Genomic DNA, 26,678 nt, shown 5'->3' with positions numbered 1-26,678 from the left:
CATGCCAAAACACCAAACAGTTCATGCTTTATCTGCATCATAAAACTGCACTCCATGAATTTAAGTAACCACAGATAATGTATTGACTAGAATAAATGATGTCTCTATTATACCACATACTTATCATGTGTAGTTGTTTTGTTTTGTTCTAATAGGAAAAGGAGGAAATAAAGAATGTATAACCTAATGATGAATGCATAACAACAGCCAGTGCTTCTCAAACTTTCCTGTGCTTACAAGTCATCTAGGCGTCTTCTTAAAATGCATACTCTGATTCAGTAGGTCTGAGATGGGGCCACAATTCTACATATCTAACAAGATCCAGATGATGTTGATACTGTGGTCCAGGGATCACACTTTGAGTAGCAAAGATGTAAGCAAATCAGGTGTGCACAATACATGCAACACAAGCAAAAGAGAACACACAGTCTATTAATTTACTTCAGTTATTATTCATCTCACCTTACCCATGTCTGTGTATCATGATGAAAAATTTTTATGATACATTCATTTACTCAAAGCTATAATATTTCAAAGTTCAACATGGAAAGATTTGTGTGTCTGATGTCTGTGAGGAGACTATATCAAGCAAGTATTTGAACACTCTTCTTTCAGTTGCTAGCTGTCAAATTCCACTCATTCCACAAGTTCTGGTTCAAACAACTCAAATTGTTATCTGCTCTGTACACCAGACCTCTATGCTGACATACACCTCTAAATGTGTGTATAATTCCCACCAGCTTGGACTTTCTTAGGACTTCCCTATCAAGCTGTGGAATATCCAGTGAAAAGTAGAGCCAAAACACCACTGAAATGAGAGTAGATAATATAAAAATATACAACCACATAGATAAAATGAATGGAAAAGGAAACAACGGCAGATGAGAAAGAGTTAGAAGGAAGAAAGCAAATAGACAAGGGGTATATGGCATAGCAGAGAAGGAAAAGTTTAAGCTTAAACTTCAAGAAAAAGAAATCAAAAGAGGGTAAAGTTAATTTCCTTCACAGAATCCCCCAAAGTCTCATGACTTAGAGGTATAAGCATCTGACTATAAGCATGAGAGGTTGAACTAAAAATATGCAGATGGGTTTAGATAAAATTTTGAGCAAGAATGAATTCTAACACACTCTCTCCATCACCCCAGCCAGGCATCCACTCCTCTCCTATGTCAGTAGAAAGCTAGAGATTGACTAGTCTGAAGAAATAAAACCAGACTGATACAGAGCTTCCAGTAATAGACACAGCTGATGGTATGGATGTAACAACATTACTGGAAATAGTGGGGATTAATTTAACCTGTTATTTTTGAACAATGATATTTTCATCACCTCATTTTTTGTTTGTTTCCATAATGCTGGCAGTCAGGTCTATTCCTTTCCATCTGTGTGTTGTTAGCAGGTATTTCAAGAATTCTATTGTGTAAGCTTTGGAGAAATTGAACCACCTAAAAGAAAAGATGTGCAACTATGCCAATAACTGAGAATCATCTTATGGGAGATTGGCTTACTGCCCGATTATCCTAGAGTGATGTCTCCCACTTTACAAGCCACCCCCTTTGACATGGCACTTTCCATCACCATTCTAGTGCCTCATTTTTAAATATGAATGAACAGCCTAGAATCATTACAAACTGGGGAAAGTTTACACATAAAAGACAGATCACACAAAAGAAAAAAATAAAAACCAGTAGGAATCGAAAATGCTTATATAAACTTTAAAATAAAGGACTGTCTCAATGTGATAAAAGAAGATGCAACAAGAACAAAAAAACTATTTTAATGAACATATTTAGAATAAGAAAAAGTTCTCAAAAATTAAAAATATGATTTAAAAAATCTTTAAAGAAGTATTTTAAATCAAATGGAGAAAATATCCCAGAAAGTAGAAGAAAAAATATCCTAAAAGATTATAAAGTTAGGAATTCATACAGGGGGTTCAACTGATGGCTAACAGGAGTTCTAGAAAGAAAAAAACAAGGCAGGGTTTGAAATTACCAAAGAAGTAATCCAAAAACATTTTCCAAAATGTTTATTTTTAAGTATCACACTAACTTAAGTCTTCATACAATCTCAGAATATTTGGACTAAAAAAGAAACGTAAAGTTTATCAGTGAGAAGGAAAAGCGGCGGGGAAGCTACATTGAAAAATTAGAAATTTTATCTAAGGAGTTTATCAACAAGAACACTATAAACTAAATAAAGTTCTTCCCAAACTTTTTGAAGACAGGAGATAAATAAATAAAAATACTTTTCAGACATACTGGAGTAAATAGACAGGGTTGCTCACAGCTAAAAGCTATCAGCTCAGCCTAAAAATTTCAGACAGAGAGAGTCAATATATTGGCATGCTGGATTGAATATACCATGGTACATGAGGCAAACTAATTTCAAATTTATGTTTTTATGCCCAACTAAATTACCAATCAAATTTGAGAGTAAAAAAAAAAGACATTTTAAGACATACAAGCTCTAAAAATCACTTACCTACAAAGTGTTCCCTGAAAAAGTTGCTGGAAGATATGCTTCTCTAAAACAAGAGTATAAACCAAGAAAGATAAAACATAGAATCCAGGAAACAAGTTCCAACACAGAAAAGCAGAGTAGGGACTCTTCAGGGATATAAGTAAAAGAATCACCAGAGAGTGACCCCTGGCTCTAGGGGACCACAAAACTACAAATGGAGCATGAAGACCATAGAGCATTAAGTCAACAGGAAAAATAGAAGAAGACATTTATACATTTATAGACCATCTAACGTTTTTACCATATTAATATTGTACAGGTTTGACAAGTATGGGTTAAATTGGTGATTAATTCATAGAAAACTGTCAAACGAAAATCATGAGACAATTATTAACTCAAGAAAAATAGAACAGTGTGCAAGAAAGAATATGTGATCCTGATTCCCCACAAAATTAAGAAATGAACACTATTAACATAGACATAGCACTCTAAACCTGCGCATTGAATTAACAAAAATGTGATAAAACTACATTGGTAAAATGGTAAAGGTATACACTGCTGGAGGAACGTAAATTAGTTTAGCCACAGTTTAAAACAGTTTGGAGATTTCTCAAAGAATTTAAAACAGAACTATCATCAACTACAAATAAAGACCCTGCACAAAGCCTCTTTCCTCTAAAAATATCCAGAAAAGGAGTCAACTGACTGTATTCAAATTACAACACAGTTAAAGAAACATCAGCTGACACAGATGAGAAAGAACCATAACAAAAACTCTGACAACTCAAAAAGTCAGATTGTCTTCTTTCCTCCACATGACTGCTCTAGTTCCCCAGCAAATGTTCTTAACCAGGCTGAAATGGCTGAAATGACACACTTCAGAAATACAGATAAGAACAAAGATCATTCAGATATAGGAGAAAGTTGAAACTGAATCCAAGAAATCTAAGGAATATAAGGCAATGATACAGGAGCTGAAAAATGAAATGGTCATTACAAGAAAGAATAGAACTGATCTCACTCACAGAGCTGAAAAACACACTATAAGAATTTCATAATACAATTGCAAGTATTCACAGCAGAACAGACCAAGCTAAGGAAATAACAACAGAGCTTTCACGCACAAAGGAGAAATAAGATCCTTTTGGGACAAGCAAATGCTAAGGGAATTCAATACCACAAGACCTGCCTCAAAAGAAATACTTAAGGGAGTGCTAAATATGGAAATGAAAGACAGTTACTGGGCGCCACAAAAAAAAAACACTTAAGTATATAGATCATTAACATTACAAAGAAACCACACAATCAAGTCTGCATAGTAACCAACTAACAACATGATATCAGAATCATATCTGTACATGTTAATATTAACCTTGAATGTAAACAGGCTAAAACTATGCATGCTCCAATTAAAAGACACAAAGTGGAAGTTGGATAAAGAAGTAAGACGCCATATGTGTCTTCAAGAGACCCATCTCACATGCGATGACACCCATAAGCTGAAAGAAAAGGAATGAAGAAAAATCTACCAAGCAAATGGAAAGCAGAAAAAAAGCAGGGCTTGCTATAGTTTGCTTTAGACAAAACAAACTTTAAACCAACAATAATTTAAAAGACAAAGAAGGGCATTACATAATGGTAAAGGTTCAATCCAACAAGAAGACCTAGCTATCCTACATATATATGCATCCAACACAGGAGCATCCAGACTCATAAAATGAGTTCGTAGAGACCTACAATGAAACTTACACAACCACACAATAATAGAAGGAGAATTCAACACCCCACTGACAATATTAGATCAAGACAGAAAACTAACAAAAATATTTGGGACTTGAACTTGACACTTGACAAAATGGGCCTAACAGACTTCTACAGAATCCTCTACCACAAAATAACAGAAAACACATTCTTCTCACGTGCACATGGCACATACTCTAAAATCAACCACATTATTGGCCATAAAAACAATCCTCAGCAAATTAAAAAAAAAAAAGTCACACCAAACACACTATCAGACCACAGCACAATAAAAATAGGAACTAATGCCAAGAAAATTGCTCAAAACTACACAATTACATGGTAATTAAACAAACTGCTTCTGCATGACTTATAGGTACAATAAAATTAAGGCAGAAATATAAAATTCTTAGAAAACTAATGAGAACAAAGATACAACAAAGAATCTCTGGGACATAGCTAAAGCAGTGTGAAGAGGGAAGTTTATAGCACTAAACACCCGCATCAAAAATTTAGAAAGATATAAAATTCATAACCTAACATCACACCTACAGGAACTAGACAAACAAGAGCAAACCAACCCCTTCTGCACATGGTTTCTGCAAGCAAGCTAGCAGAAAACAAGAAATAACCAAATTCAGAGCTAAACTAAGGAAAATGAAGACACACACACAAAAAAACATACAAAAGATCAATGATGCAGAGCTTGGTTTCTTGAAAGAATAAATAAGATTGATAGACTGTTAGCTAGGCTAATAAAGAAAAAAAGGGACAAGGTCTCAATAAACAATCAGAAATGAAAAAGGGGACATTACAACTGACCCCAAAGAATTTTTTTTTAAAAGCCTCAAAGACTATTACAAACACCTCTATGCAGACAAACTACATAAACTGAAAGAAATGAATGAATTCCTGGAAACATACAAATTGCCAAGATCAAAACAGGAAGAAACTGGATCCCTGAACTGATCAATATGAGTTCTGAAATTGAATCAGTAATTTAAAAGACTACCAAAAAGGTCAGGCATAGTATTTCACACCTGTAATCCCAGCACTTTGGGAGGCCGAGGCAGAAGGATTACTTGAGTCCAGGAGTTCAAGACCAGCCTGAGCAGCATAGCAGGACCCTGTCTCTACAAAAAATTTAAAAATAAGCTGGGCATGGCGGCACATGCCTGTAGTTCCAGATACTAGGGAGGTTGAGGCAGGAGGGTTGCTTGACCCTGGGAGGTCGAGGGTGCAGTGAGCCTCGACTGCATCACTTCACTCCAGCCTGGGCAACAGAGTGAGATCCTGTCTCAAAAAAAATAAATAAATAAGCAACAGGTGAATTCTACCAAATGTATAAAGAAGAACTGATACCATCCCTACTGAAACTAATCCAAAAAATTGCAGAGGAGGGACCCCTCCCTAACTCATTCTATGAGCCTAGCATCATCCTGATACCAAACCCTGGCAGAGACACAAAACAACAACAACAAAAATTTCAGGCCAGTATGCTTGATGAACATAGATGCAAAAATCCTCAACAACATACTATCAAACCAAATCAGCAACACATCAGAAAGCTAATCCACTACAATCAAGTAGGCTTTATCCCAGGGTTGAAAGTTTGGTCCAACATATACAAATCAGTAAATGTGATTTATCACATAAACAGAACTAAAAACAAAAACCACATGATCATCTCAATAGATGCAGAAAAGGCTATTGATAAAATTCAACATCCCTTCATTTTAAAAACCCTTAACAAACTAGGCAATGAAGGAACATACCTCAAAGTAATAACAGCCCATCGATGAAAAACACACAGCCAAAATCATACTAAGTGGGAAAGAGCTAGAAGAATTTCCCTTTAGAACTGTAACAGGACAAGGATGACCACTCTCACCACTCCTATTCACCATAATACTGAAAGTCCTATCCAGAGCAATCAGGCAAGAGAAAGAAATAAAAGGCAGCCAAACAGGAAGAGAGGAAGTCTCCAAACAGGGATAGTTTTATCCTTGTTTGCAAGATGATACAATCCTATACCTAGAAAACCCCATAGTCTGCCCCAGAGCCCCTAGATCTGATAAGCAACTTCAGCAAAGTTTCAGAATAGAAAATCAATGTACAAACCAACAATATCCAAGATGAAAGCCAAATCAAGAACAGAATCACATTCACAATAGCCACAAAAAGAATAAAATACCTAGGAATACAGCTAACCAGGAAGGCGAAAGATCTCCTCAATGAGAATTAAAAAACACTGCTCAAAGAAATCACAGGTGATACAAACAAATGGAAAAACATCCCATGTTCATGGATAAGAAGAATCAATATTATTAAGATTTCCCAAAGCAATTCACAGATTCAATGTTATTCTTAACAAACTACCGATGACATTCTTTACAGAATTTGAAAAAACTATTTTAAAATTCATATGGAATCAAAAAAGTGCCCGAATAGCCAAGGCAATCGTAAGCAAAAGAGCAATGCTGTAGGGATTACATTACCCACCTCCAAACTATACTACATGGCTACAGAAACCAAAACAACATGGTACTGGTAAAATAATAAAAATAAAAAATAAAACACATATACCAACGGAACAGAATAGACAGCCCAGAGCCCAGAAGTAAGGCCACACACCTAAAACCATCGATCTTTGACAAAGTTGACAAAAACTAGCAATAGGGATAGGATTCCTTAATCAATAAAAGGTGCTGGAATAACTGGCTAGCCATGTGCAGAAGATTGAAGCTGGATCCCTTTCTCATCTCATATAAAAAAATCAACTCAAGATGGATTAAAGATTTAAATGTTAAACCTAAAACTATCAATATCCTGGAAGATAACCTAGGCAATATCATTCTGCACATGGGAACAGGAAAAGATTTCAAGATGAAGATATCAGAGTTATTGCAACAACAACAAAAAATCGACAAATAGGACCCAAGTAAACTAAAGAGCTTCTGCACAGCAAAAGAAACTATCAAGAGAGTAAACAGACACCCTACAGAACAGGAGAAAATATTTGCAAACTATGCATCCAACAAAGGTCTAATATCCAGAATCTATAAGGAATTTAAAAAACCAACAAGCAAAAAACAACCCCATTAAAAAGTAGGCAAAAGACATGAACAGACACTTTTTAGAAGAAGACATGCACATGGCCAATAAGTATATGAAAAAATACTCCACTGCATTAGAGAAATACAAATCAAAACCACTGAGATACCATCTCACTGCAGTCAGAATGGCTATCATTAAAAAGTCAAAAAGTAACAGATGCTGGTGAGGTTGTGGAGAAACGGGAACACTTACACACTGTTAGAGGGAAAGTAAATTAGATCAACATCGTGGAAAACAGTGTGGCAATTTCTTAAAGAACTGAAAACAGAATTACCATTTGACCCAGCAGTCCCATTATTGTGTATATACCCAAAGGAATGTATATCATTGTACCATAAAGACACATGCACACATATGTTCATCACAGTACTATTCACAATAGCAAAGTCATGGAATCCAGCTAGATGTCCATCAAGAGTTGATTGGATAAAGAAAAGGTGGTACATATACTCCCATGAAACACTACACAGCCATAAAAAAGAATGAAATCATGTCCTTTGCAGTAACATGGATGTAGCTGGGGGCCAGTATTCTCAGAAAATTAATTCAGGAACAGAAAATCAAATACCACATGTTCCCATTTATAAGTGGGAACTAAATATGGTGTACATATAAATATAAAAGTGGCAACAATAGAAATTGGGAGCTAAAGATTAGGGAAAGAGGGGTGGGCAAGGGTTGAAAAACTAACTATTGGATACTATGTTCACTACCTGGGTGATGGGATCATCACATACTGTCTTAAGTATTAATTCCTTTAATATTATGAAACTTATTTATAGATAAGGAAACTGAAGCAATTTGCCACCAAATCACATGGCTAATCTGTTGCAAAGCCAAGATTAGAAACTAATTAGTCTGACGTCAGCATTCAAGCTCTTTACCACAACACTACTCATGCTGAGAAAGCTTCTCAAGGCTGAACTACTGAGTCACAGGCACAGCCTTTCTCACTCAGAGGTTAGTGACATGACAGCTTTGAATTCTAAATTGGAAAAAAATTTCTGTATGTAGCAAACTAGATTGTTGTAGTCCAACCCTTCCACTACAAACATCCAGAAAAGTGAGAACAATATTTTTAATGATTTTTAAGGCATCAGAGAGCTACTGAGGCACTGGGAATTTGTGTGCCAACATTACAGAATAGGGAAGACAGGAGAGATGAAGTCCAACATTTGAAGCTACTTTTCCACTGTGGGCAACTGTTGTTTCCAAAACAAAAATGAGGGAAGAGAGGCTACGAAAATAAGAACTTTCAAAAGCCTCACAAGACTAGGAAAGAAACTGAAATTCACAGACAGCTGAGGAAAAATTGCCTTTAGTAAACACCACAAATTTAGCTTGATACCCCCAGAAGGCTACACCCCAGTAGTAAAAGAAGACAAGAAACAATTGAGCTCTCACAAAGTTTCATAGCATGCTCAAAAATAGTTTAATTCCTGACTGAATTAAAGCGATATGCCTCCACTCTCACTGCCTGCCAGAAACAAAACTAAAGCACCTCTGGAGGAAAAAAAAATCATGCAGAGTGTCGCATTATCTCTACATATAATGTCTGAAATGCATTTAATAAAAAGATTTATGTAGAGTGCTTTGGGTGTCCAAGGCAGGAGAATCTCTTAAGCCCAGGAGTTCAAGATTAGCCTGGGCAATATAGCAAGACCCTATCTTAACAAAAAAATAAAATAAAAAAATTAGCTGCAAATGGTGGTATAAGCCTGTTGTCATAGCTACTTGGGAGACTGAGACAAAAGGATCACTTGAGCCTCATAATTCGAGGCTACAGTGAGCTATGGTTGTACCACTGCATTCCACCCTGGGCAATAGAGTGAGACTCTACCTCTTAAAAGAAAAAAAGTTGTATAAAAAAACAATAGGAATTGGGGAAAAAAATAGGAAAAGCATACAATAGATACTGACACCCAGAAAATAAAATTATTGAAGTTATCAGGCAGAAAATATTTAGTAAAACCTATAAAATAAAATGAAAATTCTAGAACATATAACTGAAATTAAGAATTAAAGGAGTAAGCTTAATTAAACACATTCTGCAGAAAGAATTTCTTAACTAGAAAATAAATCAGAGAAAAACCACCCAGACTGAGGCATAGAGACTAAAGAAAACAGGAGGAACAATATAGAAAAAAGAAGAAACATTTGGGACACACACACGAACACACACACAGACACACACACACGTAAGTACAGTCCTAATAAGAAAAAAAAAGAAATTGAGGTAAAAGAAATATTTAAAGAAATAGTAATATGGAATTGTTCAAAGACAATAAATATATAAGTCCACACATCTTAAGTCCTCAAGATGGATAAATATGAAGAAACATTCCAGGTGTTGTAGCTCATGCCTGTAATCCCAGCACTCTGGGAAGCTGAGGCAGGTGGATCACTTGAGCTGAGGAGTTTGGGACCAGCCTGGGCAACATGGCGAAACCCCACTTGTGCAAGAAATACAAATTAGCCAGGTGCTGTGGCATTCACCTGTAGTCCCAGCTACTTGGGAGGCAAAGTCAGGAGAATCACTTGAGCCTGGAAGCAAAGGTTGCAGTGAGGTGAGATTGCACCATTGCACTAGAAATCAGTTAAGAAGATGCAACAACCAGGTAAATCCCTAATAATGCAAGAAAATGTCACACTCATTGTGAAATTTTGTGACATTTTTCTCATTCACTCTTCATCCCCTTCATGGCACAATATGCCACTGTCAGGAAGATGTGTATCAATTTCAAGTTCCTCCCTCAGTATACAAGGGAAAAAATAGAACTTGCTGGCAATATTTGGCTTGCCTAGGGGCTGCCGAAGTGACTGGTTTCTGTCTTGCCTGATGTAGAGCACAGATGAGAAAAGTGGCATAGTTTGGATGCCAGGTTGGAGGCCACTGAAAGCAGCAGTCAGTCACTGTGGCATGTTAGAGCTGCAGGGAGTCTGCAGACCTGCAGGCGGCTAGGAGTAATCAATTATGGACATAGGAATACAATAAACATCCAAGGCTTTTGAGATGAACCAGGAGACTGAATAATACATTTTAAAGCAGATAGTATGTATGCAGGGAAGTGGAATAAAAACACACACTTAGGCTTAGGGAATACACATCTTCAGAAAAGATTTAAAAGACCCTGAGCCTTTAAAACATTTTGGGCAATGAAGGTCTTCCCCTGCACAAAGCCATGCTACAAAAGCTGGGGGAAGTGGAAATTTTTTTCAAGTGTCCAAATCTCAAGAGAACGTATCAAGACATACCAAAATAAAACAGAGTAACATGAATGATTCAAAGGAACCAGATAAATCTCCAGAGATTGTCCGCTAAAGAAATGCAGGCCTCTGACTTACTTGATAAATAAATTAAAACAACTACCTTAAATATGGCCAATGAACTCAAAGAAAACACAGTGAAAAACACAAAACTAAATCTAGAAAATGGTTTATAAACAAAGTGGAATATTAGCAAAGAGAGAGAGATTACAGTCATATACCACATAATGATGCTTGGTCCCGTAAGATTATAATCGTATATTTTTACCTTACCTTTCTGTTATATAGGCTTAAATACACAAATACTTACTATCATGTTACAATTGCCTACAGTATTCAGTAGAATAACCTGTATATGTTTGTGGCCTAGGAACAATAGGCTAACCGTATACTCCAGGTATGTAGTAAGCTATACCATCTAGGTTTGTGTAAATATACTCTATGATGTTTGAACAATGGAAAAATTGCCTAACAATGCATTTCTCAGAACGCATCCACATTATTAAGTGATGCATGGCTGTATTTACAAAGAACCCGACAGAAATTCTGGAGCTAAAAAATAGAATAACTGAATTTAGAAATTCAGGCAAAAGAAAGAACCCACAAACTTAAAGATGGGCCATGTGAAACAATCAAATCAGAGGAGCAAAGAAAAAAAAATGAACACAGCCCAAGGAACTTATGAGACACCATCAAGCCAACCAATGTACACATGCAGAAGACGAGAAAAAGAGAAAGGGGCAGAGAGTGTATTTAAAGAATTAACGGCTGAAAACACCCCACATTTGAAAACTAAATGGATATACAAATGCAAGAAGTTAAAAAACTTCAAGTAGCATAAACCCAAAGAGACCCATACGAAGCCACCTCATAATGAAACTATTGAAAGTCAAAGACAAAGTGAGAATCTTAAAAGCAGCAAAAGAAAAATGACTCATAACATACAATGGAGCTTTTATAAGATTACCAACTGACTTCTCTTACATGCCAGAAGGCAGTTGAATGACATATTAAAATGTGTGAAATATACCTAGAGCTCGGCATAGAGGAAAATTTATTGTCTTAAAAGTACCTATTAGAAAATAAGAAAATCTGAAAGTCAAGAACAAGAAAAAGAACAACAATCACACTAAATTTACTAGAAGAAAGAAAATAATAAAGATAAAAAATAAATTAATAAAATAATATACATATTTAGTAAAAATATTTTTTTTAAATTCCGTTTCTTAATAAGACTAGTTATATTTCTGTGACAGTGCAAGCCTTTTCACAGAGATCAGCCCCCAGCAAGGGTCTGTCCAAAGAAAGTAGAGTGGTTAAGCTTACAGGATCCAGAGTGAGACTTCCTGGATTTGCATTCTTGACTTTGATGCTTAATACTTTTGAGACCTATGCTAGGAATAAAATCTTTCTGAGCCTCAATTTTCTCATCTGAAAATGAAATCATAATGGTACCTATCTCACAGGTTGAATGAGGATTAAACAAGATAATCATAGAAAGCACAATAAATATTTGCAATTATCAGTATCATTGAGACTTCTGAACCACAAGCCTGTTGCCACTATTGCATATCACTCTCTGTAGCCTGTTTCTGAAAAGAGTCAAAAGTGGGCAATAATAAGTGATAATGAGGACAGGTAGTATAGGAGAAAGTTAAAGTGTAGGATGAGTACTCAACCCAGAAGAACATGGCCAACTCATTGGAGAAGTTACCATCAACCCAATACTGCTGCTATACAGAAGAGTTTTATAGTGTAATCTGTAGAAAATGCAAAGGCCCATCTTACCATATGTGGATTTGATACTGAGAGCTACAGAGGGAGTATCTCTGGCAGCCTCTAAAAGTAGCAGTTTAAAAAACAGCATGAAATAAGAAAAGGCAAGGTCGTAATAGCCACAGAAAAGGAATGAGAAACTCCCATTTCCTGTCCAAGTCCCTGACGTCCAAGATGCAGGCTTTCTAAGGAGAAGCTGATAACCCCACTGTGATGGAGCAGTGTCATGGCATGCTGGAAAACCAGGGCAGAAGATAATTCCCAAGGAGAGATGGAAATAGACAACCAGCTCTAGAGTAAAAAAGCAGAGGTCAGAAGTGCAAGTTTTACATGCTGGCATCTTTCCAAAAAGTAGATCTCTGGGGAACAGGAGGACTCCCTGTGAATCATACAGTTATGAGTTTGTAATATTTATATTTTAGGGAATTTTTGGTTTTATGAAGCTGATAAGGAAAGAGGTGAGCCATTAACATAATAAAAACATACATATATATTTGGTCTAGGCCATTGTTTCCTGACAGGCACATAGCTGCTAAGACCCTTGGAATGTAGGAAGTGGTGTCTTTTTGTAGGCTAATGAATGACTGGTGACTAGAGGCGCTGGATAGCCCCAGAATGGGGGCTGATTGTCAGGGGAACCAACCCTGTAATTAGAAGGTTGGAACTTTCAGGTTCTCCCTCCTCCCATTCCCTTACCTGCCTTCTAACCTCTAGGTAGGGGAGAGAGGGATGGAAGTTGAGTCAATCACTAATGTCCAGTGATTTAATATATCATGCCTACATAAGGAAACTTCCATAAAAACCCAAAAGGACAGTGTTCAGAGTGCTCATAGGTTGATGAGGACATGGAGGTGCTGGGAGGGTGATAGGCCTGGAGAGGGCATAGAAGCTCCATGCCCCCACATACCTCACCCTATGCATTTCTTCCATCTACTGTTCCTAAATTATATCTGCTTAATAAACCAGTAACCTAGGAAGTAAGCTGTTTTTCTGCATTCTGTGACTTGTACCAGCAAATTACTGAACACAACGAGGGGTTCATGGGAATCCTGATTTATACCCAATTGATCAGAAGTGAGAAGGGAAGCCTGGACTTGGGGTTGGCGTCTGAAGTAGGGGCAATCTTGTGGGACTGAGCCCTTAACCTGCAGGATCTGATGCTAATTCCAGGCAGACAGTGCGAGAATTGAATCGAATTGTAGGACACCCAGTTAGTGTCAATGGAGAAGTGGAGAATTGCTTGTTGTGGAACAAATCCACACATATGGTCACAGCAGTGTTGGAAGTGTTGAGTGTGTGTATAGAGAAAAACAGTTTGTGTTTTCTTCTATAGGTTCATGGGGAGTTGTCCCCAGTGTGAGCATCAATCTTAATGCTAAGTAAAGTGAGAAGGGCCACAACAGAAAATCTGGACTCTTGTGAGTAGGATCATGACTAGTCTGCATATAGAAGTATTTATCACCCAAACCAGGACAGTCTTGAGAGTAAAAGCAGTCACTATTATAAATTTTGCAGGAACAATGTAGCTCAGTCAAACCAGGACTTCTGGTAAGTCTTGTCATAATTGATGAGAAAAAATTATATGAAGTAATCACAATGCCAAATTGTGCTTGGAGAGCCACCCATTTTAAGCCCCGCTTTGTTAAATAGGATGGACTCTCAGGAAATTATGTCACCTCACTAAAAGGGGAAAGCATCCCCCATTCCTGTAGTTTAGGCTACTGACTTACCCAATAGTCTGTTCTGGAAACTCTCTTGCATATTTACATATTGGGCCACTTCGCAAGTCTTCCTGATAAACTTTTTGAAGGCTTTCCAATAATATGCTTGTTCCAGGAAAAATTGTGTTTTTTCAAGTGTATGAAATATCCTGCAATCAAAAAGAATCCAGAGAAAATTAAAATTTAAAAATGATCTTGCAGATGACAGATCATTATAAATTTTTCTAAAAACAAATATATGCAAATGCATGGCAGTCCACTTATGTAAGGAAATAGAATCTTTCAAATAGTTCTACTAATTTTTTAAGTTTGTTTACAAACTCCTCTACCTCGATTTGAAAAATAAGGAAAAGCAATTTATGAGAATACATAAAATATAAGACAATAAATCAAGAAGGACAAAAAAAGAGGAAAATTAAAGGCCATAACAGGAAGTGAACTTAAATATTAAGAAAATATATATTCCCTATTTGACATATTTGACGAAGAACATCCTAGCAGTCAAGGAAAATGGAAATTGATCACACATATAATTCACAGAGTCATAAAATAAAATCAAGGCGAATTTTCTGTAGAGTTACAGCTCCCAAGAGAAGCTTCCCATTTGTACTTAGTGCACAATTTCTGAGTAATTAACAAGAACTTCCATCACATGCATACCTTGGACTTACCAGGGATCCTCAATTTCTAATGAAAGATTAAGTCAGTGGTTAAACATTAAGGGAACTCTTTCATATTTTACAGTTATTAGATGCTTTCCAACAGTACCAGTAGGTTAATATTTTTAAAATAAATTGAACCTCTTTCTATTCAAAATATAATCTACCATATTGATCTATCATTTGTGTAGAAGGGGCAGTTGAAATCATTCTGATGTCCCAATTGTTTATAAGTTTCCCACCAAACATGTACTTACACTGTGGAGACAAGCTGGTGCTTACAGTCACTAGAAAAGACATCATTCTCAGGAGAGGGATCAGCTCCCAGCAGCAGGAAGAGCCGAGTACAGGAAAGGCTTGCTTCTGACAGCTGCATCTCAAGTTCCTGCCAGTCCAAATATTCTTCAGGTATTAAAACTGACATATTTTTGTGCCAAGTAATGACCTCTTGCAAAATACGATCCTTAACAAGAAAAGAAGATATTGCTTATAATAAATAAAGCAATTCAGATGTGGGTATTTGAGACGCAGCCTTGACCCTGTATCACTAAACAAGGGGTCCACTCAAACTGTACATCAAAGATCGTGCCCTATGGCATGGTAATTATCTAAGTTATAGTTCTAGACTTGAATCTTTACTCATGTTCAGGTTAATAAGTCCAAAAATAAAACTTAATCCAATAATAAAGTAGGATGGGACTCAGTGTCATAGCTATCTGTGTTAGCTAGTTGCAACAAGTAGCCTGTGAACCAGACCCCCTGAGAGTCTCACTCTCAGTACCACCTTCCACAATTCCTCTAGGCTGAGATCTGGCTCACGTAAACCCATAGAATGCAGCTGAAGTGAATTGTGCCAGTTCTAGTTCTACCTTCTCTGAGGACTGGCAGCTCCTACTCTCCCTCCTTGCCTGTTTTTGCTTGTGTGTGGGATCCCTGGATAGCCATGTCAGAAGTCTGGCTACCCTGCTGAAAGGCCATATGGAGAGGTTACCTGGAGAAGAGACATCTTGAGTCTGAGAGGAGGATGAGAGGCCCTCGTCTCAGTATCCTAGCTAACCAGACTCCAGCCCTCACGGCCATCTGACTGCAACTACATGAATGATGCCCAGTAAGACCATCAGAAGAACCACCCCACGGAGACTGGTCAACCCAGAGTCAGAAGAGCGAGAAAATAATGTGTTTTGTTTTAGGTCACTGAGCTTTGGGGTGATTTGTTAGTGATACGTATCGTAGGCATCATCCAAAAGGCTACCTCAAGTATATGTAACCTATAAATACATAGTTCCCTGCTTCGTATGAGACTACAAGTTAGACTTTACAGATAAAAATAAATTTGAGATAGGATTTCTGCCAGGAAAGAGCTGACATCTAGTAGCAAGAAAGGTATTTGCAAACAGGTAATGTTTTTTGTGCCTGCATGCATTCACATACACTTTTCTTATTTATTTTCTTTTCTTTATTTTTTTAATAGGGTCTCACATTGTCACCCAGGCTGGAGTGCAATGGTGTGATCATGGCTCACTGCAGCCTTGACCTGCTGGGCTCAAGCAATTCTCCCACCTCAGCCTCCTGAGTAGCTGGTATTACAGGCATGTGCCACCACATCTGGCTAATTTTTGTTTTCATTTTTGTAGAGATGGGGTTTAGCTATGTTGCCCAGGTTGGTCTTAAACTCCTGGGCTCAAACGATCTGCCCACCTAGACCTCCCAAAGTGCTGGGACTACAGGCATGAGCTACTATGCCCAGCCCTTCACATATAATTTTCTGCCTGCTTAGCATCCTCTCCTGACTTCTCTTTGCTTCCAAATCTTACACCTCATCTAAGGCTCATTGACTTATTTGGGAAGACTCCTAGATGCTGAGCTCCAAGGCTCTCACTGTTGTTTGCCCTTCTCTACCAAGATAGTGTCTTCTTCATGTTTGTACTCCCTTCAGCATACTGTCATGCACAGAGTAGATGCTAAGAAATCGGTGATTGAATTATGCACACTATTCAATTACTATCCCAATTTTCATTTTGCTGAGACACCATTTATATTTCACTAGTTTCATTATTTCACTGGTTTTATTTCCATGGTATATAAGGATATAAAAAAAAAAGGTAATACTGAGAGAGAAAAATGAACTCTAAAAATATAAATATTGTAATTTTAATTCTCAGTAAGAAGAATAGGGCTGGAACTTGACAAAATAATCTTTCCAAACAAATCGTTCAACATTCTGCAGTCCCACTTGAGCGCTGAACAGGGGTAGCCCATTGTCCTGGGCAGTTACATGAGAGGAATATGACTTTTAAAGCTTGTAACCACTCAAAGCCACAGTTTTGCTGGGATTGACTAATCACCAGAGACTCCTCTGCTTTTCTTAGCATGTGCAGCCAAGAATGAAGCAGATCAAGGATCCAGGAAGCCAGAAAAGAAGAAGTGGTATGTTTTGAAAGTTTGAGGAATTTCAAGTAGGTTTTGGCCAGGCGGGTGGCATACAACCTTTCAGTCAGACAGAAAGGCCAGCATTGAAGGGCAGCTGGAGTTCAGAGAGCCAGCTTCCTTTAAGTGTGTGGGCTTACGGCAAAACTTTCCTCATCGAAACTCCAGGTTAAATATTAGCATCTTTGGTGAATTTAATCTTAAATTTGTGCCCTTAGAAGAGCTAAGATGGTAGAATACTTACAGCATCCTCTACTGAACCAAGTAGCTTGTTTAAAACACTCGTCTCAGAGGAGTTACAATAGCACAACAGTCCCTGGAGACCACCCCATATGCTGGAGTTTCCAGGCGGCAAAAAGACCTCCTTCTCAGAGAAACGACCATTCGGGCAGACAGCATTCTTCGCCAACATCTAAAAGATTAATAAGAGTGGGAAGGAGTAACATTTAAAGAGGCTTAGATACCCTCTTCATGGGCTCAAGAACTGCAAATATAATAAGCAATGATAAACATTTTAAACACAACATAAAGTTTTGAAAAACCTGCATATTGTTCCCTTTTTTAGCTAGCACAATTCACAAAAGGAGCAAAACTGAATATTGCATGAGCTTCTTGAATGTTTTATTAAAAATGCTTATTTATAATTATTTGTTGTGCTTTACCTGTTTCAGCTCCCAAAAGAACACATCCTTTTCCAGTTTCAATTGGTTAAGTTCAAACCATTTAAAATCATTAGCTGATGTCTCCAGGCAAATGAGGACTTCTGCAAAGTAGACAAATTGATTATTATTCACCTAAGGTAAGTAAGCTTGACTTTTATACATGGCCATGAATCAATAAACTGGATCCTGAAAACATGGATTTTTTAAAAACTTGACCTATTATTATACATTTTCTTCTCTTCCTTAGAAAGGAAAACAGGAGTCATTGTAATATCATTTTGTCCTTTCCAAAGACTAGTGAGAATGAGTTTTTACTTCTAAAGTAACATCCCCCCTCACTTTTTCCCTCTCCTCCCTGAGAAAATGAAAAGGCTGCAGCCCATCTGGGCAAAAGTCCAAACCCAACTTCCTCAGAAGAGGGAAGAAAGAATAATGCTCACCATAGTCAAGAAAGTTCAAAGAAGGGCATTCTGCAAACCCAGGGGGAACACACTCTCCCTACCGGACACCAAGAAGCATTGGTGGGAGGAGGCAGTAGAAGGAACAGAATACAAAAGATACGCTTATTCACAACGCACTCTGGTCCCTTTCCAGCCTGAAAACCACAGATGCTGCCGTGAATGTGAAAGTCAACCCAGCCTTAGGACACTGCTTGTCATAGGCCACAGCATGGGCTTAAGGAAAACAGAAGGATGCGCTCTTCACTGTGCCCTTATTGTTTATTTAGCCTTGGTGTGCTGTATTTTAAATCCCCTAGAAGGCATCAGAGTAAAGCATAAATATGCATATGACACCAGCAAAGTTATCTCCCAACTTTACAATGTGTCAGGCAGTTTCAAGTCCATTTTCCAATAAATTTCACATTTACTCTTAGTGAGTCAGGGACAAATAACACCAAAGCTAGCTTACCTTGGACAAAATGTAAATTCTGAGCTATCGCATTTCTGAGAGCTCCATCAAGCTGAAGAAATCTCTTCAGTGCCGGCCACTGGGGCAGGTTTTGCAGCAAGCTTTGCAATTTCCACAGATGCTGTAATCTGAGGGCAAAAATAAATAAATGAAATAAAATGAAAAGTAGTTCGAAGTGCCAATTAGGGAAATAAAAATTCCGTTCAAAGGAAAATATTCCACTGCTTTGAGAAGTGTGTTCACTAGACTGAAAGTCACACTTCATCACACAACCAGGTTCTTGACAAATTGCATTGAGTCACCTGATTGGGAGATTCTTTCAATACTGAATATGGATTAAACATTCTCTTTACCCCAAAATGGGAAAGTATATTCCTAGGTGTGTGTAAAAGAAGTGAGGGTTAGGATAAAGTTTCACATGGGGTCTAAAAACATTTGCCTTGAAGCCTATAGTTAATGAGATATAGAAAAATATTTTGAGAAAAGTTTCAAAATATAGAGATGGTGTGTGATGGTATACAGGACCCATCGCAGTGGTCCCAACTTGAGCCAATTGGCAATGCCTGTAGGATTCTCCAAGGTCAAAGGAAGAACGACCACCCAGGCAGCTCAATACAAATAGTCCCTAGAATGTCAGACTAACGGGCTCCAGACATGGAAGAAACAACTGAGAAGAGAAGCTGGAAAGAAAATGAGTTTGATAATGTGAAGAACCTGAAATTGGGAATAAATACGGGAGAGGGAGAAGCAAGGCATAGCCACACTGTGGGCAGCAGAACTGCCCAGAGCAGGTGAGTCCAGGCTTTCTGTGTCTTTGAGCAACTGCATGGAATCCTCACCTGTGATAAACGAAGCAAGCTACAGAAGGAGAAAAGCAGAAAGAGATGTAGCTACTTGAAGCCCAAGCAAAATGTTCCACTGGCTGGAGCCATCCCACTGCTTTGAGTGCCTGGCGTCCATTTCGACTTCTGTGCCATAGTGGTCAGTCTCTTCATGGCATCTTGATAGTTTGGGGTTGAACACAGGCTTGATAAATAGTTGCTGCTATTCTCTAGCTGGAGAGCTGATGGACCCAAGCACCGTAAAGGGTATAGAGAGAGTGAGCAAGGTCCCAATGATAATTCTCCTACAAGACACCAGCAGGAACTGGTACCCATCCCCACGTCATCACCCTACAAGGCGGAGCAATTGCTCCATCAGAGCCACATGCTTGGGCTTTCTGGCTGCTGACCAGACTCCTGACACCTCATGCTAGAGTGAAGCTGGACACATGGCTTTTGGAATTGGCCATCTGCAGAATGAACTGGGCTTAGGTCAGTCATTGTTCTGACTCTTTGGATTACACTGAGAAGGAAGCAGAGTGGCACTTGGAAAGAGCTAGAAAGTGAGAAAGAGATTATTTTATTTTCCCCAAGGAAAAAAGAAATGCTGTGTGGCTTGGAACCTGGATCTTACTGTCAAGTCTCTTTAAACTCTGACAAGCAAGGATACCACATGGCCAGACCCTAGGGACTATTCCCCCCACATCTGTGAACAGACACTTCACATTCACAACAACGTGCGACATTGAAGGGTGAGTCCTTGCTGGAAGGCGCAGAGGCACCTCTGTGAGTCCTCGCCTTGCCAAAATCCACGCTATCTGCTAGAGCCTGGGTGAAGAGCTCCCACACCTCAGCCACCCGTACTGCAGGGACGTGGGCAGGAACCAGAAAGAACCTGGAGGAGAAAAGGCAGTCTGTAATGACACGAAAAACTCAGTAGAAAACTGAGAGTCTGGTGTGATTTCCATTTATTTTGGGTGAACTTTGCAGCTTAGGAAGAGAAAAAGATATGAACAATTGGCTATGAAGACAAGGTAGTGAAAAAGGGATGGGGTTTCTTGGACCAAAGCTAATGATAAAAGATATACAATTTTCTGCTAAGGGTGCATGTGAATCTCAGAAAGATTTAAATAAGGCTGAAGGTGGCCAGCTGCGGTGGCTCACGCCTGGAATTCCGGCACTTTGGGAGGCCGAGGAGGGCAGATCACTTGATGCCAGGAGTTCAAGACCAGCCTGGCCAATACGGTGAAACCCTGTCTCTACTAAAAATGCAAAAATTAGCTGGGCAGTAGTGGTGTGAGCCTGTAATCCCAGCTACTCAGGAGGCTGAAGCAGGAGAATCGCTTGAGTCTGAGAGGTGGAGGTTGCGGGGAGCCAAGATCGCGCCATTGCACTTCAGCCTGGGCAACAGAGCAAGACTGTCTCAAAGCAAAACAAAACAAAACAAAGAAAAAAAAACAGCAGATGGACAGCAAAGCCAGTGTTTGGGCCTCATCTTCCTGGCACTGAGAATGTGTGGAAATTTTATATGGGGGCAGAAGAATGTGGGCTATCCTAGCTTTGTACCTAGAGTGTGGTATAGTCTTCAGCTTCCCCCCATCTCTGTAGGACTAAGAGCCAAGTACAGCTTCCTGGGGCTTCAATCCCCTGGCCTGGCACAGAGCAGGCAAAATCCTAGGCTAAAGTGCCAGGGGGCATTCGAGATTTGTAGGATAATTACGGTGACTTAATGTGGTGTTTCTATTAATGTGCATTAAGTGACAGACCAGCAGGGAGGTTTTCAATATCCCCAGTGCAATGTCCCTGCATTTGTTCATTTATGACAGATGTTTTGTCCCTGCCCTTTGCCTAGAACACTACTTCAAGGCATCCTTGCTGGCTCCCTGCATCCATCCTCCTGTAGCTTTTATGGCCCGGATAGGGAACTGTATTTCTGCCTTTAGCGCAAGCACCTCAGGCCCCAGAACATCTCTTAAGTAAAAGTTAGGAAATAGGACCTTCAAAAGCAAGATCCTGTTTGCTAAAAGTTCCAGAAAATGTGAAAGAACTGGAAGTGTTTAGAATTGCTATTTCTTAAGTAATCATAAGAACACAATATGGTCCTATCCAATTCTGTCATCACAACTCTCCTTCATGGTACACAGAGAGCAAGAATTTGTGTGACCTGGTTTGAAATGCACATTTTTGAGATAATATTGAGAAATCATATTCTTCTTTTCCAAAGACAGCCTTAACTTCAGAAGGATAATAAGATTCAAGTTACTACAAACTGCCACACCTACTAAGGAAAAAGATCTAGTCGGCTATTTTGGTGAATCAATTGTGGTTATCTTAAAAAGGAAGAAACAAGTTCCACCATTTCCTACTTCTACAATATTTCTGGACCTTATGTAAACACTTCAACTATACAAAATCTTTAAGTAAATATAAAAACATATTTTTTGAAGAGGAAGATTCTAGGAAAAGAGCTACTCATGTAAGGTAGTTCTGTACATAAAAATGCCTCCGAAATGAATTTATTCATTTTTAAACAAATGCCAAAGACATAAAATCTAAAATCTAGGAAACTGACACCTTCTCAAACATTGCTCCCGTATTCGGTCGATTGCAGCCTCTGAATAGGCATCCAGAGTGCTGCCAAGACTTCTACCCTGGTGATGGTCCACAATGAAAGCCTCTGATTTCCCATTTGCTAACAAGAAATTCATTATTTAGCTGTAGTTTTACAGAATGTGTTTCTAACAGTATCATCACGCACTCTTTAACATTCTGTGTCATCTACCTAATCAATAATCAAACAGGGAAATGCGACTTACATCTTTGGAAATGTATGATTATCTTTTGGGCCATCTGCTGACAAGCTGTCATTCAGCAGGAGCAGTGCAGTGTGCAGAGCTTCCACCACCTTCCAGGGCTTGCTCTCTTCTTCAAACTGATTCCTGAGAGCCTCCAGACTATGGCCCATGCCTGTGAGTGTCTTCTGAAGCAGGCTACCCTGTTGCCACTGAACAAACACCTACAAATTCGGAAACCAAAATACTAGCATTAATAATAGCAAATTGGAAAGAACAGTATTTAGTTAAGAAATATTAACATACCACTCTAGATGACAGACAGCCAATCTTTATTTTTTGGTAAATTAAAATGTCTGTTAGCAATTGCAGTATGATTTAATTTCTACTCAGAAATTAAAGATTTCATGTTGCAACAATGGATGCACACAACTTTATAATCTCTGCCTTATTTCTCTTTTTTCCCCCAAAAGAGAAAAAGAGAGAAGGGAATAACATACACCTCTAAACAAATGAAATACAATTTAAAACCTAAACGAACATATTTAGGATAGCATAAATATATTTGCATATTTTTAAATATATACCAAAGTTAATACATGGTTACTAAGTGTCATTTTACGACACGGACATGGTGAGGATGATACTGAAGTCAATTAGCACTGTGGTTTGTCATCAACATTACACAAAAATAGATCATTCTTGCCCAAGCCTGATGGCATGGAGAGGTGCACGATGTACATGTATGTGTGCTAACTATGCCTTAATTAACCATGAGTTATGTTACCCAGATAATGCACAAAGCAAGTGTGTCCACTAGACCATTGGATGCTGGTCATTTCAGCACTGTCCCTTGATTATTTTAGTGCCGGATGACTTTAGTGCCACGAAGCAGACGACAACACCTATATATTTTTAAGGATGTTTTATCTACCATTTGAGATTTTGGCCTTTATACATGACACATATTAGCGGAGAACAAAGTTAAAGAGGTGTGTTCTTTAAGGAAAAACATGAGACAGAGACGGCAAAGCCTGATAAAACAAATGGGAAGTGACTGCCAGGGGAGCTCTGCCTCACAGTCTCCAAAACCTCCCCAAGAAGCGCAAAGCTGTGAAACAGCCAGGGCTCCATGAGCTTCTGAGGCCAGGAGCAATCTAATCACTCAGGCCCTCTGCCCCACACCAACATCCCTATAAAGACAGACTAGAGCCTCCCTTCGTGTTGTTAAATTATGGTCACTGAAATCACAGTCACTGTTTGTGCACAGAGCTTCTGGTCAAAACCAGAGTGAAGAGACAAGGCCAGTTCAGAGCTTAAAGTGCTAGAGGGATGCCCAATGCTAGCATGCAAATGTCCAAAGAGCTGGTCATAGTACTCCAGGGCAATCTCATGCACCAATAACAGAGCATGGGTCTAGGAACTTCTGAGTTGCCAAGGTGTGTGTGCAAGCCTAGGATAGACTGTTTGGTGATGAGTGTTGAGGGCCTAGGCCTATGGAGCTGGAGCCAGTTGATGCACATGGGACAAGGTGCACTCAATGGCCAGGATGTGGGGCTCCTAAGGCCCTTTCCTTGGAGGGACATAAAATCCAACAGTAAACATGGCAGGGCAGGGGAGGAGAATGGATTTGGACACTCAAACTGGCACACCTTTGAACAGAACATAGAGAGAGGGGACAGCACCTGTTGGTAGACTCGCAGCCAGCTGACTGCATGGACAAGATAGTTTTTGGCTTCTGACCACTTAGGGTGGCAGCCTCCAACGTGGCCCCATTTCTCAGCTTCATCCTCTGATGTGCTAGACAAGACTGAACACACCATCTTCTCCAAGGAAGTGTCTGTGGGAATCTGACAACAATATGAAAAAATATTTAGACATAAAGCTCCTTTCCTAGAACCTTCCTCTTCTAAAAATAACACCACGATCTTGCCACAGTAAAAGTTCTTACATTTGCTTGATTGAAGAAGTAAGTGATGATATCTATGTGATTTACCTTGAGGGAAGACTTGGTAGTTAAAAAAAAAAAGTTATATTTTTCAGTTTCATCCACAAACAATAGGAACAGCTGTTTCTCCAGGCCAAGGACATGGAGATGACATCAAATCTTGTTTCTTTTCATTCTTAGGCCAAAAGTGAACATGGGTCAGCCCAGTTTAATTCATACTTCGGACTAACAAAGTTGTTTTGCCAAGAACATTTTCTTTTCTGACTATCAAAAGTGGATAAAATTGGAAAGATTCAAATTGAAGTCCTGGGTCAGAAACTGTTTAATGTTTTTGAACCAAATCTCCTTTATTTTATACATGAACTTCAACACAGTGGCTGGGCACGGTGGCTCACGCCTGTAATCCCAGCACTTTGGGAGGCCGAGGCGGGTGGATCACGAGGTCAGGAGATAGAGACCATCCTGGCTAACATGGTGAAACCCCGTCTCTACTAAAAATACAAAAGATTAGCCAGGCGTGGTGGTGGGCGCCTGTAGTCCCAGCTACTCAGGAGGCTGAGGCAGGAGAATGGCGTGAACCCAGGAGGCGGAGCTTGCAGTGAGCGGAGATCGTGCCACTGCACTCCAGCCTGGGCAACAGAGTGAGACTCTGTCTTAAAGAAAAAAAAAAAAAAAGAACTTCAACAGAGTTCCTGTAACACTGCTTTGTAAATACTTATGTTTATGATATAATGAAGCACATTCCCCTATTACATCATTTTACAACAATTATAATGCCATCTTTAAGAGATTCTGTTGGTGACTGCCATGGTCTAAATGCTTGTGGCCTCCCCGCCAAAATTCGTATTTTGAAATCCTAGCCCCCAAGGTGATGGTATAAGGAGATGGGGCCCTGGGGAGCTGGTCAGATCATGAGGGTGAACACTTGTGAATGGGATTAGCACCCTGATAAAAGAGACCCAGGGAGTTCCCTTACCCCTTCTACCACGTGAGGACACACCAAGATAAATTTCTGTTGTTTACAAGTCTGTGGTCTTTTGTTATAACAGCCTGAATTGACTAAACAATGACAATAGTCAGAAAGCTTAATTTTAGTCCCATGTGTTCACTTTTAGGTTCCTTTTGGATCAGGATTTAAAATATTAACCTGTGACTGTCAAAGCACAGGGTCCCTGATGTTTTGTTCTATTTTTTTCCCTTAATTAAAAATAATCAACAATACCATGTATCATGTTAGATAGATAAGGCCAAGTCCCCACTCAGATGCTCACAGCCTATGAGAGGCAGATATGCAGCCATCAGGCTCCCTGGGACATGCCCTATTATAGAAGGTTGAAGAAGTAGAGGCAGAGGCTGAAGTGAGGTCACAGGAGATCCACAGAGGATGTGAGGTTAGATAAATCATTTTCCAATTCAGGAGGCAGAGGCAGGGAAAGAGGAGGACTATTCTCTTGCAGGGGCAGCATGTGCTGAGGCCCCCAGCAGGCCCAGAGAGTGACAGGGTCAGGAGTCAGACAGACCCCAGGGAGGGCCTAGGCTCACAGGCTGATGCAGATGGAAAGGGCCCTGTGAAACCACCTTTGCAGATTATGAGAGTGAGAGAAGTCTAGCATGGCTGACTCCACCTTGCTTCTAGCCTCAGAGGCTGGCTGTCCTTGCTCACTCCTGGGCATATACCAAGCTAACCATGGGAGGAATTTAGTTTGTAGTTTAACTTTTTAGCAAGGTTGATAGTAGTCCCTCCCTAAGATGAATCCCCTCATTTCTCAGGTACAGAACCTGCCCTTGTAAGACTAATAAAAGGCCACAAGATTAAGATTATGAGAGTGGCTTGAATGCTGCTAAAATGTAGGTGTAGCTAAATGATAATCAGCCACTGGTCCCTAGCTTGCCTTCTATAATCCCTTGCTGCTCAGGAGTCATGGGGCCAAAGATCACAAGATATGTGACTTCCTCAATTGCTCCTATAGATAACATCACTATTGTCAAACCCAAGATTGGTCTCTTGAGACGTTTTTCAGACTTTTGCATTTTTCCACATCCTTGTGATTTCATCCCCAACCAATCGGCGAAACTCATTTCCTAGTCCCCTGCCCACCAAATTATCCAAAAAAAAAAAAAAAAAAAAAACCCTACCCTCTGAGTTCTCAAGGAGGCTGATTTGAGTAATAACTCCAGTTTTTTCCCTTGGCTAGCTCTGCATTAATTAAACCCTTTCTCTACTGCAATACTGCAGTCTCAATGAATTGGTTTTGTCTGTGCAGTGGGCAGGAAGAGCTCACCAGGCAATTACACTTACGAAGGGTGGGAAGCAGGCAATGTTCCCCCAAGATGTCCATGTCCCAATCCCAAGAGCCCATGAATATGTTATGTTGT

The 26,678-nt window shown here is 39.2% G+C and overlaps 1 protein-coding gene across 29 annotated transcripts in view, besides 1 other annotated feature; it reads right to left on the bottom strand.

The window, feature by feature from the left end:
* Window positions 1-26,678, bottom strand: part of ABCA13 (ATP binding cassette subfamily A member 13) — a 476,040-nt gene that overhangs the window by 384,053 nt on the left and 65,309 nt on the right. For all 29 annotated transcript variants that reach the window (XR_926914.3, XR_926915.3, XR_926919.3 and 26 more), the window contains 7 exons: window positions 24,040-24,204; window positions 22,379-22,578; window positions 18,742-18,869; window positions 17,833-17,933; window positions 17,415-17,582; window positions 15,001-15,206; window positions 14,094-14,233 (listed from right to left, as the gene is read on the bottom strand). Coding sequence is in view for 26 of the 29 variants with exons in the window: in XM_011515130.3 (XP_011513432.1) it covers window positions 14,094-14,233; window positions 15,001-15,206; window positions 17,415-17,582; window positions 17,833-17,933; window positions 18,742-18,869; window positions 22,379-22,578; window positions 24,040-24,204 (1,108 nt within the window). In the remaining 3 variants the exon portion in view is untranslated. The remainder of the gene's footprint in view (window positions 1-14,093; window positions 14,234-15,000; window positions 15,207-17,414; window positions 17,583-17,832; window positions 17,934-18,741; window positions 18,870-22,378; window positions 22,579-24,039; window positions 24,205-26,678) is intronic.
* Window positions 17,445-18,644: an enhancer, noted in NCBI's record as "CDK7 strongly-dependent group 2 enhancer chr7:48284398-48285597 (GRCh37/hg19 assembly coordinates)". NCBI's record gives its function as "activates an origin of replication core promoter dependent on BRD2, BRD4, P300/CBP, MED14 and CDK7 cofactors, with strong dependence on CDK7, by STARR-seq in HCT116 cells {active_cell/tissue: HCT116}" and the evidence as "EXISTENCE:reporter gene assay evidence [ECO:0000049][PMID:35650434]".

Source organism: Homo sapiens, chromosome 7, assembly GCF_000001405.40.
Source record: "Homo sapiens chromosome 7, GRCh38.p14 Primary Assembly".
NCBI lineage: Eukaryota > Metazoa > Chordata > Mammalia > Primates > Hominidae > Homo > Homo sapiens.
The sequence above is the reverse complement of the archived record's forward strand: the minus strand, read 5'-3'. Positions and strand labels throughout refer to the sequence as shown.